The sequence below is a fragment of the Homo sapiens genome, chromosome 13 (assembly GCF_000001405.40).
Source record: "Homo sapiens chromosome 13, GRCh38.p14 Primary Assembly".
Lineage (NCBI taxonomy): Eukaryota > Metazoa > Chordata > Mammalia > Primates > Hominidae > Homo > Homo sapiens.
In genome coordinates, this window is record NC_000013.11 from 71,765,500 (window position 1) to 71,782,400 (window position 16,901).

A 16,901-nucleotide genomic window follows, 5' to 3' on the forward strand; every position below is an offset into this window, starting at 1 on the left:
TATGCAAATTTTGTTATGTAATGTACTGTCTTAAAAATCTTCCATATTTCCTCATTCTTTTCAAGATAAAAATCTAAACACAAGAATAAATGAGAGCCATTATTATCTGGTTCCTGCCCATTTCTCCAGCCATCTTTAAACAGTAATAATGATGGTTATCATAGGATGTGCCAAGCACTGTTGAAATGTCTTCATACACTATTTTATTTACTCTTTCTAGCAATCCTAGGAAGTGAGATTTAAGACCCCCAGTTTTATAAGTAATGTTTCCATAACAACTAACATCTACAGTCATGGAATAAGAAAATGACCAAGCCAGGATGTGAAACAGAGTCGGTCTAAATCTAATGCTGTTGCTCAAAAGGATTATTCTTCTTCTTCTTCATTTTTTTTTTTTTTTTTTTTGAGACTGAGTCTCGCTCTGTCGCCCAGGCTGGAGTGCAGTGGCGCGATCTCTGCTCACTGCAAGCTCCGCCTCCCGGGTTCACACCATTCTCCTGCCTCAGCCTCCTGAGTAGCTGGGACAACAGGCGCCCGCCACCACGTCCAGCTAATTTTTTGTATTTTTAGTAGAGACGGGGTTTCACTGTGTTAGCCAGGATGGTCTCGGTCTCCTGACCTCGTGATCCGTCCGCCTCGGCCTCCCAAAGTGCTGGGATTACAGGCGTGAGCCACCACGCCTGGCCTCAAAAAGATTATTTACTATTTCCCCTAAATTTCCTACTCACCTCTCCTTCTCATTCTCCATCTGTACCCTCTTCTCTTCAGGTTGTCACCTGTAGCCTTTAAGTACCTTAGAATCTATAATCACTTGTGGAGATGTTTAAAATTCCAATGGCCGGGCTTCATTCAGCTCTTGAGATTCTTAAGGTGAAGCCTGTGCATCAGAATTTTTTTAAAGCAACCCAGTTTTTTCTAAGGTGTAGCCAGGTTTGAGACCTACTGCCTAGCAAAACTAAATTATATATAGTTGTACCAAACATAATGTAACCTCCATTAGCCCTGATCCCAGTGATTGTAACTATTTCTCCCCATATAATTGTCTGTAGGGAATGTTTGGGCTTCCCACAGCTTCATGGCTCCCTTCAATTTACAATTGACATGACTGGCAGTCAGTAGACTGCCAACAATAACTTGTAAAATAAATAATTGAATAAGACTTGTTGATTGCTCTTATAAGTACTTTGTAGGAATTCTTAATGTAAGCACTGAAAATTAATATCTTGAAGTTCCTTAAATTTTGCAGGGCAAAGGGAGGAATGAAAGCACTGAAAAAAACAATTTCAATACATGAAATTATTTACACATAAAATGTGTCAGTTTCCTCCTGAGAAAAGGCTTAAAAAAAAAAAGCTCTCACTTAATTAAAGGCCAAAAAAGTTTTTTTCCCCCAAAGTTTTAAACTCATTAGCATCTTGCAGATATATGTGAAAAACTATAGTCTAGATAAAGATAACAAAGACAACAGAGAGGTCTTGTTTTCCTAGTTAACACCCTCCTCTCCTCAGAAAAAGGTGACTTTAAAAGCTACATCTTTATGCAACTGCCATTTTTTCCCCAGTGACAGAGTACATTTTCCTAATAATTAATTACTTAGTCATTGGCAAATTAAAACATCATATTACTTTGCAATTAATATATATTTAACACTGTTTATCAATAAATTAAGTTAATATTAATTATTATCAATATAATGATTTAAGTTTCTACTATTATTTAAGTTATTCATATAATTTTTGAGAAAACACTTTAGAGGTTTCTTCCATGAGGTTTTATTAAAACTGTTATAAGAATCTAAAAATCTTGTGTTTCTGCTATTATGTGAAAAATCTAAGTTATAGTATTTCAAGGGGCGATTTGGTGGGGGAATAAAATATCTAAGAATATAAAGAGAATCTGAATGACCACATAATAAAAATTAATCATGGTGAATTGCTTTGGGGAGAATCATACACTTGACCCATATTGAAGACTGAAATATTAATCCATTTCTATGACAGAGATCAAGCTTCACAGTCGCTTTTTATCCTCCTCATCATAGAAGCAACAGTTGTAAACCATAATGTTATAGTTCAAACAATGCCCCCCCAAGACTCCAAATTTATTATAGCATTCATCTCCAAGACAAAAGACCTGGTGTAGGCAAAAAGCTCTTTATAGCAAAAAGCATGGTTGTTATTTATGGCTCAGATGCAAAGAATGAGTTTGGGGAATTTATCAGAGATGAAGGTATGAAATGTTTTAGCTTGTTCTTCCCTCTCTAATCCATAAACCATTTTCTCAGCCACCCAAGTGAATTCTAATGGAACAGAAATGATGAAATAATATTTTCCTAGCCCTTTAACACTTTTCCTTCTGTATAAGTTTCAGTGGGATGAGAAGAATATGTTTTATAATATAATTAAAAATATTATAAGTAGCAATGAAGCAATATTTTAAAATAAGATATAATTTAGCTCCATAGGCAAAGTTTAGCATTTTTAAAAAGTTTAATTTTTACGTATTGAATTCTGCAATTTCCTATTATTAGTAGTATTAAGAGTACTATGGGCTATCATATAATTAGAATTTCAGAATGTTAAGTATATTCTCATTAAAATCATTTAAAGAATATAAGCCCCATTATTGTCTCTCCAGTCCCAGCGATTCAATCACATTACTTGACCTCTTTCTTTTAATATTCTTCACCATTAATTCTACCTTCATCGTCACTCTCCTTGAATAAGACATGCCATAATCAAAACAAAGATGACTCATAGATTACCTACTTTCCATCCTCACTTTTTGGAACAAGTATAAGGCCACAAAAAGATGTCGATTTCTCTAATGACTAGGCCAGGGAGAAAGCTTACTGCAGGTAGGAAGGTTTAGGATGTGCCAAGATGTGATGAAAGTTCATGCTTTATTCTTACAGATTGCCTTTCTTTTCTTTCCTCTCTGGCCTATGTCAGAAGGGTGTATTGCTTTCTTATGATGAAAACATATTCAACAAATGTGACTGGAAAAAAGTATGAAATGTATTAATATTTGCTCTCAAATAAATAAGATGTTTTTAAAAGTGTTGCAGTTACAGTTCTACAGCCCTGAGCACACTGTGAGCTTCATGGATGACATATTTTTTCTTCTCTAATTCAAAAGACAGGTAATTGTAGAACAAAATAAGGCAGCTCAAATAAATACAGAATAATCTTTAAGCTGGAAAACTTTTCTGGCATTGTTTGATAGATGTTATACTAAATCTATTGTTTGCCAAATTCCATTTAAATTGCTTAAACAGCTCTAGGAAAATGTGGACTCTGTCTGTACAATTTTTAACATCATAATTTGCAGAATTAAAAACAATCCACCACTGAGTTATTTGACATCACGCATTTTGATTGCACATTTTCTGAGTCTTGGAGCTTTTTTTCTCTTAGTTGTGATACTATTTCCTTTGCTACAATTTTCATCTGTATTACACTACTTTATCTTGACATGGAAATAAAAGTTAATTAGTTTCTATGACAACCTGTGCATTAAACATAGCAGTTCTCTCAGATTTGTAAATACATGCCAACTTAGTATTCAGAATGCAACTTGTATAAGCATTCAGTACAAATAGTGTGAGTTTGTTTGCAGTTAAGATAGAATAGCAACTTGAGCCAGATGACATGATTCATTTGAGTATACAGCATCTGTGAAAGATGTCCTAAATTTGTCATCTATGTACCACATACTCTTCATATTTAAAGCTACAAATGCCTTTATAATTTTTTTTTCTTAACCACATTAAAGATTCCATATAAAAACTCTACACTAAAAATCTTCTAGGTTTATTCTAACAAAGTGCCAAAAATAGACCCTTCCATTTAGCCTATGAAGTGTTGCACTCTCTCTAAAATAGTAGTTTTCAAACTTTTGTGTGCAATAGAAACACCTGTGGAACTTCATTAAAAATAAGAATTTCCAGGTTCTGCTCCTAGAGTGAGAAATTAAGTATATCCAGGATGAGACCAATAAATCTACATTGTTATCAAGCACCTTGGTTGAGTATCATGTGCACTTTGTGAGGGTCACTTTTCTGAAAAATAGTAGATTGTATATCAGACAGTTTTTAACCAAATGTAGTAAAAGATACTTTTAAATCATCAAGTTATCAGCATACCAAGATTTTAAAACCATTGTGAAAAAGTACTCCTTATTCTGTACTGAGAGTATAAAAATCACAGTTCTCACAGCATTCGTTATTCTAATTTCAACTTTTTAGAACAATAAATGATAATCTCATAAAGAAATCCTCCAGAAGACCAAATATATCAGTTATTGGTTGAAATTAGTAATATGTGACATGATCTTATGCATAAAAACCTTTCACAAAAAGCAGATGATTTACATGAATAAAAAAAGAGGCTAAATTTTACTATCCACTATTTTCTATGGACAATATTCTTTTGCCCTCATGGCAAAGGCAAGCTCTAATACATTATGCTTTGGGATTCTCATCAGAAACCTATAAACAATGTATAACTTACAAATGTCCTTCAGTGCATTAGAATACTTTTAGTACAGCTTTAAAATTTTAAATCAATTCTGCCATTCACTCCATATTATTTATCTTCAATTTCTCCATATTTTAAATGTCACTGTGTCATATTAAGTAATAAAAAGTTTAAAAGATTATAACCTGAACTTGGCAGATATGCACTTTCATTACAAGGCCTGAAATCCTTGCCTTCGTACGTTTTCTCTACCAGAGTCTTACTTCTTATCTTGTTTTCATTTTTGAATGCAATGAAATCTTCACACTCACCGAACAGTCTAAAGTATCAACAATGTTATTTTAAACCAATTCTAATAGTAAGTTAACGGTATTTAAAATATTTGGCTCTTAATCAGACTATTTTGTCACCTCTTTTAAAAATTATCCTATTATACAATATCAGCTGAAATTATCCATCATTCTGCTAGTCTTAAATCATCCTTTAATTCTATCAGTTATATTATTCACATGCCCCGTAATCCAGTAACATTTCATTTTCTTCAATCTGAAGCTCAAGAAGGAAAGAACGCATTTAAAGATTAATTTTTATGTATGCTCTTGTAACAAATTAAAACTAAGTGACATAATAGGCTTTATTATAAGAAAATTATGTGTACCAAAATGTGCTTGGGTAGAAAACGTAATTTATTTTCTCAGAACGTCCCCCTAAAGTAGGTGTTGTTTTCATTAAGTTTTTTTGCCTTTTAAAGGCCATAAGAAACTGAATTAACTAAATCTAGTAAATTCCATGTAAGCATTAAGTAACTCAGAACTCAAAGACTTATGGCAACAAAACTATGTACAGAATAGCCAGGTGCCTCTTTCCCTCCAGTGCAATACTGATCTTTCCTTGACTACATGGTTTTTGCTGTGACACCACTCTCATTAGATTGGAATTTGTGTTAACTTCCCTGTACTAGGACTTACTAATAGGATTGCTAGCAATTATTATACTGAAATGAAATCAGCACAAACTATTAGATCTGTTTAAACAAGTTAAAAATAAACCTTGATTAAATGTTCTTTTATAAGAAGCTGCTCATTAGGGCTACATGGCCTTCAGAAAAATTGGTGTTTCATTAACATCAAAGAATGTACTCAGTTTAAACTCCCTAGCCTAAAAAGTTACATAGAAAATAAAGTTTTAAAAATATTTTAGATAATGAAATTTTAGGAAAGATCTTCCTTATAGCTCTTGGTTTAGTCAATAGAAAGAAATATACTATTAAGAATGAGGAGTATTAATAATGGAATTATGAAGAAGAACACCACCAGCAAATGCAAAAAGAAGCAAAAGGATAAATAAATAAATAAATAAATAAATAAATAAATAAATAAATCTTTGCCAGAATGACCAAATGACAGATTTCTTCTAAGCTGAGATACAAGTCGGCCACGAAATTGTTGAATTAAAAAGTCACTTAGTATTTAAATGCAAATCAGTATGTCAATTTAAGTATCCCTGCATCCATTTTTGCAACTAATCAGTAACTTTTGAACCAAAGTAGAACTTACAGAACTCTAGAAAGGGCAAGTATCCCATTCTAGAAAGTAGAAACAACATTTTTCTTGTTACAAAGAATCAATGAACTGTTATGACCTGATTTGGTGGAAATTATTCTGTTGTGATAGATAACCTAACATAATTAAGATATAGTGTTGGTAAATGTTAAACATTTTTATGGGCTACAAACTCATAGAAAGGATTTGAGTAAAATTCTTATTATTCATCTTCTTATATCCATATCATTACACACACACACACATACACACACACTCTTTATCTCACTAAGAAAAGGTAAATATTACTGTATAAAGGTAAATGTTAGTTACATAAAGGTGGGTTACCATTTATGGTTGAAGATGAGTAAAGGATGAAAAAAAAAAGCCACTATAATTAAAAGTCCAAGAGAATCATCAAACATTGAAATTCACAATAACGTGTTATCTAAAGTTACTGGCAAGTTGATCTATTTAAAGATTACAATTTACTATCCTTAAAAGGGTTTTAAAATAAAATAATTCATTTTCTGAACTGTACATGTATTATTCTAAACAAACCAAGCAGTAATTACAACTGTAAATTAATCTCTTCATATAGACTGATATCCTCTACAGTATACTTGCCCCTTGCCTACACAGTAATATGAATATGTTCTGATGTTTAAAAGGAATAAACCTTCTAGTTTGAGTAATTAACATTCCTTAATTAAACATACTAAGGAATAGACAATGGGTTCTTTATGAATATGTGAGCATGCCTAAAAGCAACAAAATCACACTTTTGTTAAAGCATTTGTGTGTATTTTGCACAATTTTTAAAAGTTTAACCTCTGTAGATCAATGTGCTTCCTTAAAAGACTTTAATAAATTAAAGTGCAGAGAGCTTTTTTTCACCAGGCAGAAAAAGCTGATGAGACAGGTTTAGTTTAATCTCAGGCAATAGAAGTCATTAACCATTCTCTCAGGGATTAAAATATAGCTTGCCCTTTTCTTCTCTCACTTATCATTAGCATCACTTTAATCTCCTAGCGTTTCACACTGCTATTTTAATCATTACTTACTGCCTTTTGACAAGTGCAGAACATGCTTTTTCTCATTGAGGCAATATCCTGGTTTTAGCTGACAAATGTAGGACATAATGTAAAAATATCAAAGTGACATCTCTTAAACACACCTTCATCATAAAAACTCTAAAGTTACAATATTCCTTTGTCTAGTATTTCCATGAAAATTATCATTTGAAAGGTTTATATCTTAAATAAAGAAAAAAGTTTCTTCCAAATACAACAAAAACTAGTTTAGAGAAATAGTATGCTGAATAAATGAGATCTAAAAATATGCACATACATGTTATTCTTACTCTCTAAAATGTATACTCATGAACTGCCAAGTGTTTACAAAAGCAAAATGTTGTTTCGATATAACTATAATAACAAAATATGCTATATTGAAATGCCCACCCAATTACCATTTAATGCTTTATAATGATACTACATAGTACATATATCCTAGGTTGAGCAAAGTGCTGCAATGATTATCCCTAATTCTATTATTTTAAAATATGTACCACACCTCTGCTGATTGATAGATACTATGTAATTCTTGCGGAAAATTTAGGTAGAAATAACAATAGTTACAACCATATTCATATGTAACATCTGAAAACCTATTAAGAGTGTTACTACTGAACTTTCCGCTACATTTTCAAAATTGCTAGTTTAGATAAAAGAAAAACCATATGATGTTTGTTAATGTTCTTTTATCTAATGACATTTAGTTTAATTTACAGAATCTCTTTAATCTAATCTGCCTAAACCTGAAGTGGATAACAAATTTGGCATAAGTCTTTTGAGATCTGTGAATGTAAGTTTTATATTGTCTTTAGATATAAATATTACAAGTCTGAGAATATATTCTAGCATTAATACTGTGTTCTATTTTAACTCAAAACTAAACCAATGAAATGTTTGGTAATTGTAAAACCTGACTTTTTAAACCAAAGCACCAATTTTTGGTAACGATCACTAACACTTGGCCCCAAGACTTTTAATCTAGTCCATCTGTAATGATCTCATAGTACTTTCAACCATTATTTAACTGTTAGAAGAAAAAATATGTCGCACTATATGTTTCGACAATAAAATCCCTTCTTAAGCTTCACAAAGCAGAACAATTCATTATTTGATCTCTTTCCAGGTTCAAAGTCTGTCTTATTACAGTACTTCAAAGAAATATGTAATCAAAGACAAACAGCTGTGAAAACAATCTTTTATTACTTTATTATCATTGAGAATATATCTTTGGAGTAAACCAGTGGAAATAGCGTACAAATAATCTTCATAAAGGTTGTTGTTTTGCATTTGTTCACAAACTATGCATGTTTATCTTTAAGGCTTTAATTTTACTTTCTATAAATAGAATAATGGCACAGGCCAGTCACTCTATTGCCTGTTTAAAAAAAAAAAAAAAGGAACAATAGCAACAACACCACAAACAAGTTAGCTGCTCCAATGTCAAAGAAATGTTTTTAATAAACAAATTTTCAAAATGATATTCAGTGATGTGACTCCCTGGGTTAACATTGCCCTGAAGTGAAATTATTTTTTTCTGGTGTTCATATTAATCAGTTAGATTTGCAGAATTAGTCAACTACAAATTGGTATACACAACTAGAATGCATACACCTAAAGTTCCACTGAGTATTCTGAAAACAGATGCAAAATCAAGCAATTAGCTTCTAAGGTAGAAGCTACATTGCCAAAATTATCTTCATATTTTACACATCACACAATAATCTGGTCATGTCTATATTTCTCAGTATGGAGGGTTTCTGTTATCAACATGCAAATAGACTGGACAACATAACATAGTGTTCTTTAAATGGGAATGACTCTCTTCATCTGCAGCCTTGTGAGACACTGTAGGTTTCAAGGTAGAAGTGATGAAGTCCTGCCATCCCACTACAGTAGAAAACATGTGGAGGCAGAAGGAAGAAACACCTCCTGAGTGCATATTATATGGTAGAAACCGTATAATTTAGTTATGATACCAACCCTTTGAGGAAGTCATTATTTATAATCCATGCTTTACAGATGTGGAAACGGATTTTAAAAGCTTAGTAACTTTTGACTCATTCTTGGGTTAATCAGACTCCAAAGTCAGTGTGCTCATTGTATTAGATCAGAATGCTGTCCATTCTAGAACACACTTTCTAGGTACATGTCCTCAAAAGGCACTATAATCTCTAACAAATCCAACTCTTCTTCAGAAAACCATAAGGCATTATGGTAGACAGGGACAAAATAGGTCACTGTCATTTTCTATGAAACTAAATTGATGATTCATCAACACAGGCCATTGTTAGAAAGATCATTGTTCCTAGGTCTTTACAAACATATCGCTAGGCCAAAAGTGATGTGAAATCGGTGCCATCTTGCTTACCAAAAGATATCACTGAAAGGTGCTACAAGAATGCTCCCCTAGCAGGGCATAGTGGTTCATGCCTATAATCCCAGCACTTTGAGAGATGGAGGAAGGAGGATCTCTTGAGGCCAGAAGTTCGAGACCAGCCTGGGCAACAGAGCAAGACTCCATCTCAACACAAGCTTTTTTTTTTTTTTTTTTTTTTTTTTTTTTTAAATTAGCTAGGTGCTCGCCTGTAATCCTACCTACTCAGGAGGCTGAGGCAGGAGGATTATTTAAGCCCAGGAGCTTGAGGCTATAGTGAGCCATAAATGCATGCCACTGAACTCCAGCCTGGGCAACAGGGCAAGTCTCTTCAAGAAAAACAATTGCCACCTCAAATTGACAAACTGAAGAAGACAGACAGATAACAGTTATTCTGGTGCCATGGCCATATAGACAAACCAGGTAATTAAGGCTGTGATATAAATTTTTAAAAGATAATGGTATGTTCATTTCACTTTCTACTGTCTTAGTACAATCGCAAAATGATTTAATATCTTTGTATTGGTTTTAAAGTTTTGTCTCTAAAAATAAACATAGATACATATATAAACAAATGCATATTCACACAAAGATATATACATTAGCTATGATATGTTCTTATGTATTTATATGTAACATTGTCTTAGTTGTAAAATGTGAAGTCTAAACTGAATATAGTTGTCACAGACATTCCTTTATATTATTAAGATTATTTGAAGGTCACTGACAGAGGAAGGAAAAAATAACACAATGATAGGCAGTAAACAGAACTGAATTTAAATTTTTTGTTATTGCCAGTAAACATAACTGAAAAATCTAACATCATATTAGTATGAACATTAGTATTTTCAATTTTAAATAATACATTAAAAAATTCCTAGAGACTCTTTGCCAGCCAAGTGTAGGGATAATGGAGAAAATGGAATTGCTTATTTGAAGTTATGATCCTTCACTTCATAGCACAACTTGGTTTAGTTTTATTGGTTACTAAATAAGCAGTATAAGAATTAAAAATGAATTTAAGGCATGACTCAATTTCCATAAAAGTTAATTTCTTGACTTTTCAGTTTGATTGTTATCAAAAGTTATTCAGTAAAAGGGCGCAAAACAAAGCCAGTCACTCCAGCTTTGGAATAATTAAGCAGTAATTTGACCAAACATTTCCTTCCTTCCTGTGTATTTCTCAAAGTCACTATTACACTATAAATTTTAGCAGAACCATTTTTAATGGGCACAATCTATGAGGGAAATAGTCCATAGTAAAATGTTTCACAACCAAGGTTGGCAACACCATTATGAAGTCACTTTTTACTGCTATTTTTAGGATGTATTCAAGATAAACTTTTGATTTTCAGGTTTTTAGAAAGGTCAGATTATAGAAGTGAGAGTTACCATGGCTAATTTTGACATGTAACACCTATGTATAATTGAGTTTATTAATTTTGGAAATACCTAAAGAAAAGTTAAATAGTATGGTATTATAACTTTAGATGTTATTTTAATGCAATATTTTCTTAATATATTGATTAATAAAGAATTAGATCAGTTAATGCTAATTCATTGTTTCCATTTTGGGTGATGCTATAATAAGCAATAAAAAAGGAGAAATAACAGTCTTAATTCCTAAGAGTCCCTGGATCATTTGCTTTCATTGAAAAGGTATCATTCATAAAGTCATGTGAAATAATCTTATACAGCTGCTTTTTCACTTTTTGAGGGTACCTTCTTACATATCATTTCATTTCATACTGAATAAAACATATATTTAAATTTTACTTACCCAGATAGAAAAACTAGCATCTTTTCTACACCCCAAATAAACCCTGCTGTTGCTTTTACTTTGTCACTCACTGGTAATTTTTTTCTTTGTCTTCTTTATCTTTTACCTTCAGCAAGTGACTTCTCATCTGACTTGATCTCTACAACTTGTTCTTCCTTCATCACTCCCCACCCAGACCCTGTCCCAGAAGTTTCAGAAGCCTCTTGACCTCCAATGCAAACATCTGATAAGCATCCTCAAAGCACTCTAGGCCTATTCATAGTTTTCTGTCTTATCCCAAATTATGCTATCTATTCTTTCAGCTTCCTGTAATTCCTGTTATCAAATATATTTCACTGTTTTGCCCCCATGGTTTACAACAATCACCCTCTTGTTGTTTTCAGATGAGTTCCTTAAAATGGTAAAGGGGAGCTCAGGAAACATTTCCACCTTCTTCTTCTTGTCCGTACGGTATAGCCTTAAAGAGACAGGAAACATTTCCACCTTCTTCTTCTTGTCCGTACGGTATAGCCTTAAAGAGACAGGAACTTCAGAGTCAGACAGTCCTGGCTCTTAGCGTGTCTCCAACAAACTGTTTGGTAGCTTGAACAGTAAGTCTCAGTTTCCTCATGAGTTAAATGGGAATAATGACATCTATATCATAGGGTTATTATAAGCATTAAGTAGACAAAATTTTCAAAAATTTTATGGTACATCGTTGATGCTAATCAAACTTAGTATCACTTCCCCTCTTCTAGAAACTCATGTATAAATAAACAAGAATTGTTCTGAACTGCATTATCCTAGCTTGCTTTTAACAATCTATGTGATTTTATATATAATTATATTGGCAGTGACTGCATCTATATTATGTCCATCATTTTAAAACACAAAAAAACTAATCCAAACGCCAAACTTGTAGATTGGAGCTATATTTTTTCCTAAATTTTTGTTTTGTTTTGTCTAGTTTGGATTTCTACTGGACAACAAATAGAAGACTTGCTAACCTTTGTCAGACGTTTAATTTTAAGTATTTATGTGTAATATTCCCACTATTCTCAACATTCATATTGAGTATATATGAATTATTAAATCAATAAATTATAAGGCCAGGTGTGGTGGCTCACACCTATAATCCCAGCACTTTGGGAGGCCAATGAAGGTGGATTGCTTGAACCCAAAAGTTTGAGACCAGCCTGGGTAAAATGGTAAAACCTCATCTCTACAAAAAATACACAAATTAGCTGGTAGTAAGGGGTTGTGCCTAGAGTCCCAGCTACTTGGGAGGCTGAGGTAGGAGGTTGCAGTGAGCCGAGATTGCACCACTGCACTCCAGCTTAGGCGACAGAGTGAGACCCTGTCTACAATAAATAAATAAATAAATAAATAAATAAATAAATAAATAAATAAATAAAACTATAAAACTTCAGAATTGAAGTGGACCTTATAAATAAGCTAGTTATTTCTCTCAATTTACAAAAGACAATGCATTGCTCCAAGAGATTAGACAACTCAGTCGGTGATATTCAGAATCAGTAGTAGAAGCCAGATTTCTGACAATTAACTCACTAATTTCTTGATACTTTGATTTTTACATAAGTCAAATGTAATTAATATTTTGAGATATACATTTTACTGATCTTTGTCTTTAACATTAGAGTAAATGTTAGAGGAATAAACTCCCTGATTTCTGTTTTCAAACTTCCCTTCAGTGACAAATGAGAGCACTCAATAGTTTTAAAATTAACTTTCTGTGGATTATAGCTTTATAATGTTGAACAAATGTCCCCAATTTTTGGAGAAATTTAAGTTGAAAAATCTAGTAAAAAAATCTTAATTTTCAAAAGGCATAACTATTGTTTTCTTTATAATAGTTTATAAAAAAAATTCTTATAATGAAAGTAAAGAAATATAAACTGCAACTTTCCTCTGCTAACAATATGTAGAAATCATATGTTTTAAGCATAGCTCTTGAAACACATAGTAAGCTCCTTTCAGAATTTCATATATTTATCATTTCTTTAAGAATAACATTTCCAAAAAATTAAACTTGGAAACAATAAATTTGTTCTGGTATAGTTTATAGAATTGTTACCCTAGGAGAAACACTGGTCTAACATGGCATTTGTTTATCAAATGATCACTAAAGAAAGGCAGATACCAGAAAGTTGGAGCTTTATGTGATATTTTCATTGTAACCATTCATATACACAGATTTAGAAAAGAAAGTTGCTCCCCTTTTTCAGCAAGATTTGAATGGCATTTTGCAAGACTTAACTTTGATACCTTTTCTTCTGTCATACCTAAGTCAAACTTTCTTACAGTGTGGATATAGTGAAAAGATGAGAATTTAACAAAAACAAAGGGCTGAATATATATATATACATATATACACATATATACATATATACACATATATACACATATATACGTATATACGTATATATATACACATATATACGTATATACGTATATATGTGTATATATATACGTATATACGTATATATACACATATATACGTATATACGTATATATGTGTATATATACGTATATACGTATATATACACATATATATATTTATATACATATATATATAACATGCAAAGGTAACAGAAAACGTTTTAAGAGTTTGATTTTGGATTTTAGAACAAAACTTAACTTCATTCACATCCAGATATCTGAGAAAGAACAGCTATACCCTTTTAACATCACCATTTAGAAAATAGAATGCAGAAAGTGGCAACGCAAAATATACTTTGAGTAAGACACATTAATTTCTCTGGACCTCCAACTTTTTGCTTGTAAAAAGTACTTACTTTACTGAGTCATTTAATAAAATGAGTGACTTAATGCTTGCAGAGCGCTTTGCATACAACCTAAACCATATTGGAAGCTCAAGTGGTAAAACAATAACCACACCAAACAAAAATAGTTCCATTTCATGGAGTGATGGAGATACTTGCTACCTCTCCACCTCTCCTTTCCCCTCTATTCCCAGATCTCTTCTTTGACATCTTCAAAATTCAACAAAAAAGTTTCCCTGTCTTTTTCCTTCCCATCCCTGGCCACCTCTACTCAACCGCATCCACCTATTTTATGTTTCTACTTGTGCAAATCTCAAGTTTTGGACTCACCACAGAGAATTATGCAGACTTATTTCTCTTTCCTACTATATTGTGAGCTGAGAACAAAAACTCTTTATTAAATCTCTGGAAACCTCTTCTCTATATTAGTGCCTGGCATATTGTGGGTGCTTCAAAAACATCCTATGAAGGAAGGAATGAATGAATGAATGAATGAATGAAAATAATAAGGATCAAATGGGATATTATATATAAAAAGGCTGTGTAAACCATAAAACATTACTGGGGGATAAGGGTCAGGTAAAGATCAATAGAGATTTAAAAAGAACTGTGACCAGAATAGGAATTACATCAGCAAGGGAAAGAACGGGAGAGGCTTCCAGATAAAAAAGCATACACAAAGACTGAAAAGTTAGAAAGAGCTTGGCAAGTTGAGGGAACTGAGGAAGGTTCAGTGAGGCATTTTAGAGTTTTTTCATTGTGCTATATAAATTTATATGATATTAACATTTTTATGTGATCAATCAAATAATAACATTATTTTTACATTGACACTATCATTTAAATTTCAGAGGATTCTGGAGCACTTTATGTATATTTAGATTAAATATATTATTTTGTTTATCCCTTATAAAACATATCAAATAAAATATGCAGGGCATTACAAATAACACGGTATGAAACAGAGGCTACCACATATTTTTGAAAATTAGCTACAAGTTGATAGAATTATCAGTGTTGAAAATCTACTCTTGAACCTGGGAGACGGAGGTTGCAGTGAGCCAAGACTACGCCACTGCATTGTAGTCTGGGCGACAGAGAGAGACTTCATCTCAAAAAAAAAAAAAAATTCTCTTAATGAAAAGAATGTTCCTCTCTCCCCTCTCTTCCTTCACTTAACTTTTACTCTTCCTTTGGTAAAATAAAAAATGTGCTATAAAAGTGAAATCACTTTCTTTCCTGCCTTTTTAATGTTTTGTTTAACTTTCTTGTTACACTCCCTGAATAGTGAAATACATTTTCAAATTATTGCTAAGAATAGGCCGGTCTCAGTGGCTCATGTCTGCAATCCCAGCATTTTGGGAGGCCAAGGCAAGAGAACTACCTGAACGTAGGAATTCAAGACCAGCATGGGCAACATAGCGAGACCTTATCTCTACAAAAAATAAAAATAAATTAGCTGGGTGTGGTGGCACGTGCCTGTAGTCCAGTTACTTGGGAGGCTAAGGTGGGAGGATCACTTGAGCCCAGGAGGTTGAGGCTGCAGTGAGCTATGATAGTGACACTGCACTCCAGCCTGGGTGACAGAGCGAGATTTTGTTATGGTAAGTTTGAAACTTTCACTGTGCCTTCCCTTTGGTTCATTAGGTTATAATAAAGGCCACAAGCTCAAATGCCTCAAGAACCAGGCAGGGAACAAACAAATCCTGTGGGAACCACAGTGAACCTGCACACAGGTCCACAGAAAGGAAGCAACTGTAACTCACCTCTAGAGAACTGTTGCCATGCCAACACTAGGTCCAGATCTTTTTTATTTTTATTTATTTATTTATTTATTTATTTATTTATTTATTTATTTATTTTTTGAGACGGAGTCTAGCTCTGTCACCCAGGCTGGAGTGCAGTGGCACCATCTCGGCTCACTGCAAGCTCTGCCTCCTGGGTTCATGCCATTCTCCTGCCTCAGCCTCCCAAGTAGCTGAGACTACAGGCACCCGCCAAAGCGCCCGGCTAATTTTTTCTATTTTTAGTAGAGACGGGGTTTCACCGTGTTAGCCAGGATGGTCTCGATCTCCTGACCTCGTGATCCGCCCGCCTCGGCCTCCCAAAGTGCTGGGATTACAGGCGTGAGCCACCATGCCTGGCCAAGGTCCAGATCTTTAGGATTCTTAGACGACCTAACAATTATGATTTTTCTTTGGAATTTTCATGGTAAATTTGATGCATAATTCATGTGGTTCAAAGATCACTCTGGACTGAACAAAATGATGTTTCTATGAGATATGAGTTGGCAACCTCAGTTCAGTATAACATTTCCTTATTTCTGTTTTCTGACACACACTACACAAAAGGTTTGTGAACCTTTACATATGTTTTTAAAATGTTGAATTGGATCAGATCATCCCATCTTCAGAAAGCTTGAATGATGCTACACTGATTACTGCAATAAGTACCAATTTCTCAACTAGACATTGGTTGCCCAGTAAAATATATCTCCAAAGCTGTAACTATCTCATCATCCTACAGACCCTTAAGTTTCAGGCAAAATGGACACATTTCACTCATGTCTCATCCTCCTATTCTGCAAAACCCATTAAACATCATTTCATTAGAAAATAAATGTTTGTGGCTGGGCCTGGTGGCTGACACTTGTAATCCCAGCACTTTAGGAGGCCAAGGCAGGTGGATCGCTTGAGGTCAGGAGTTCAAGGCCAGCCTGGCCAAAATGGTGAAACCCCGTTTCTATTAAAAATACAAAAAATTAGCTGGGCATGGTGATGCATGCCTGTAGTCCTAGCCACTAAGGAGGCTGAGGCAGAAGAACTGCTTGAACCTGGGAGGCAGAGGTTGAAGTCAGTGCAGACCATGC

General features: G+C 33.4%; 1 protein-coding gene across 6 annotated transcripts in view, besides 1 other annotated feature; it reads right to left on the reverse strand.

Annotated features, from left to right (window-relative positions):
• DACH1 (dachshund family transcription factor 1) overlaps positions 1–16,901 on the reverse strand; it is a 429,239-nt gene that overhangs the window by 327,534 nt on the left and 84,804 nt on the right. The window lies entirely within an intron of this gene.
• Positions 6,349–8,599: an enhancer, noted in NCBI's record as "VISTA enhancer hs188". NCBI's record gives its function as "enhancer in: eye[3/7]" and the evidence as "EXISTENCE:transgenic organism evidence [ECO:0001131][PMID:17130149]".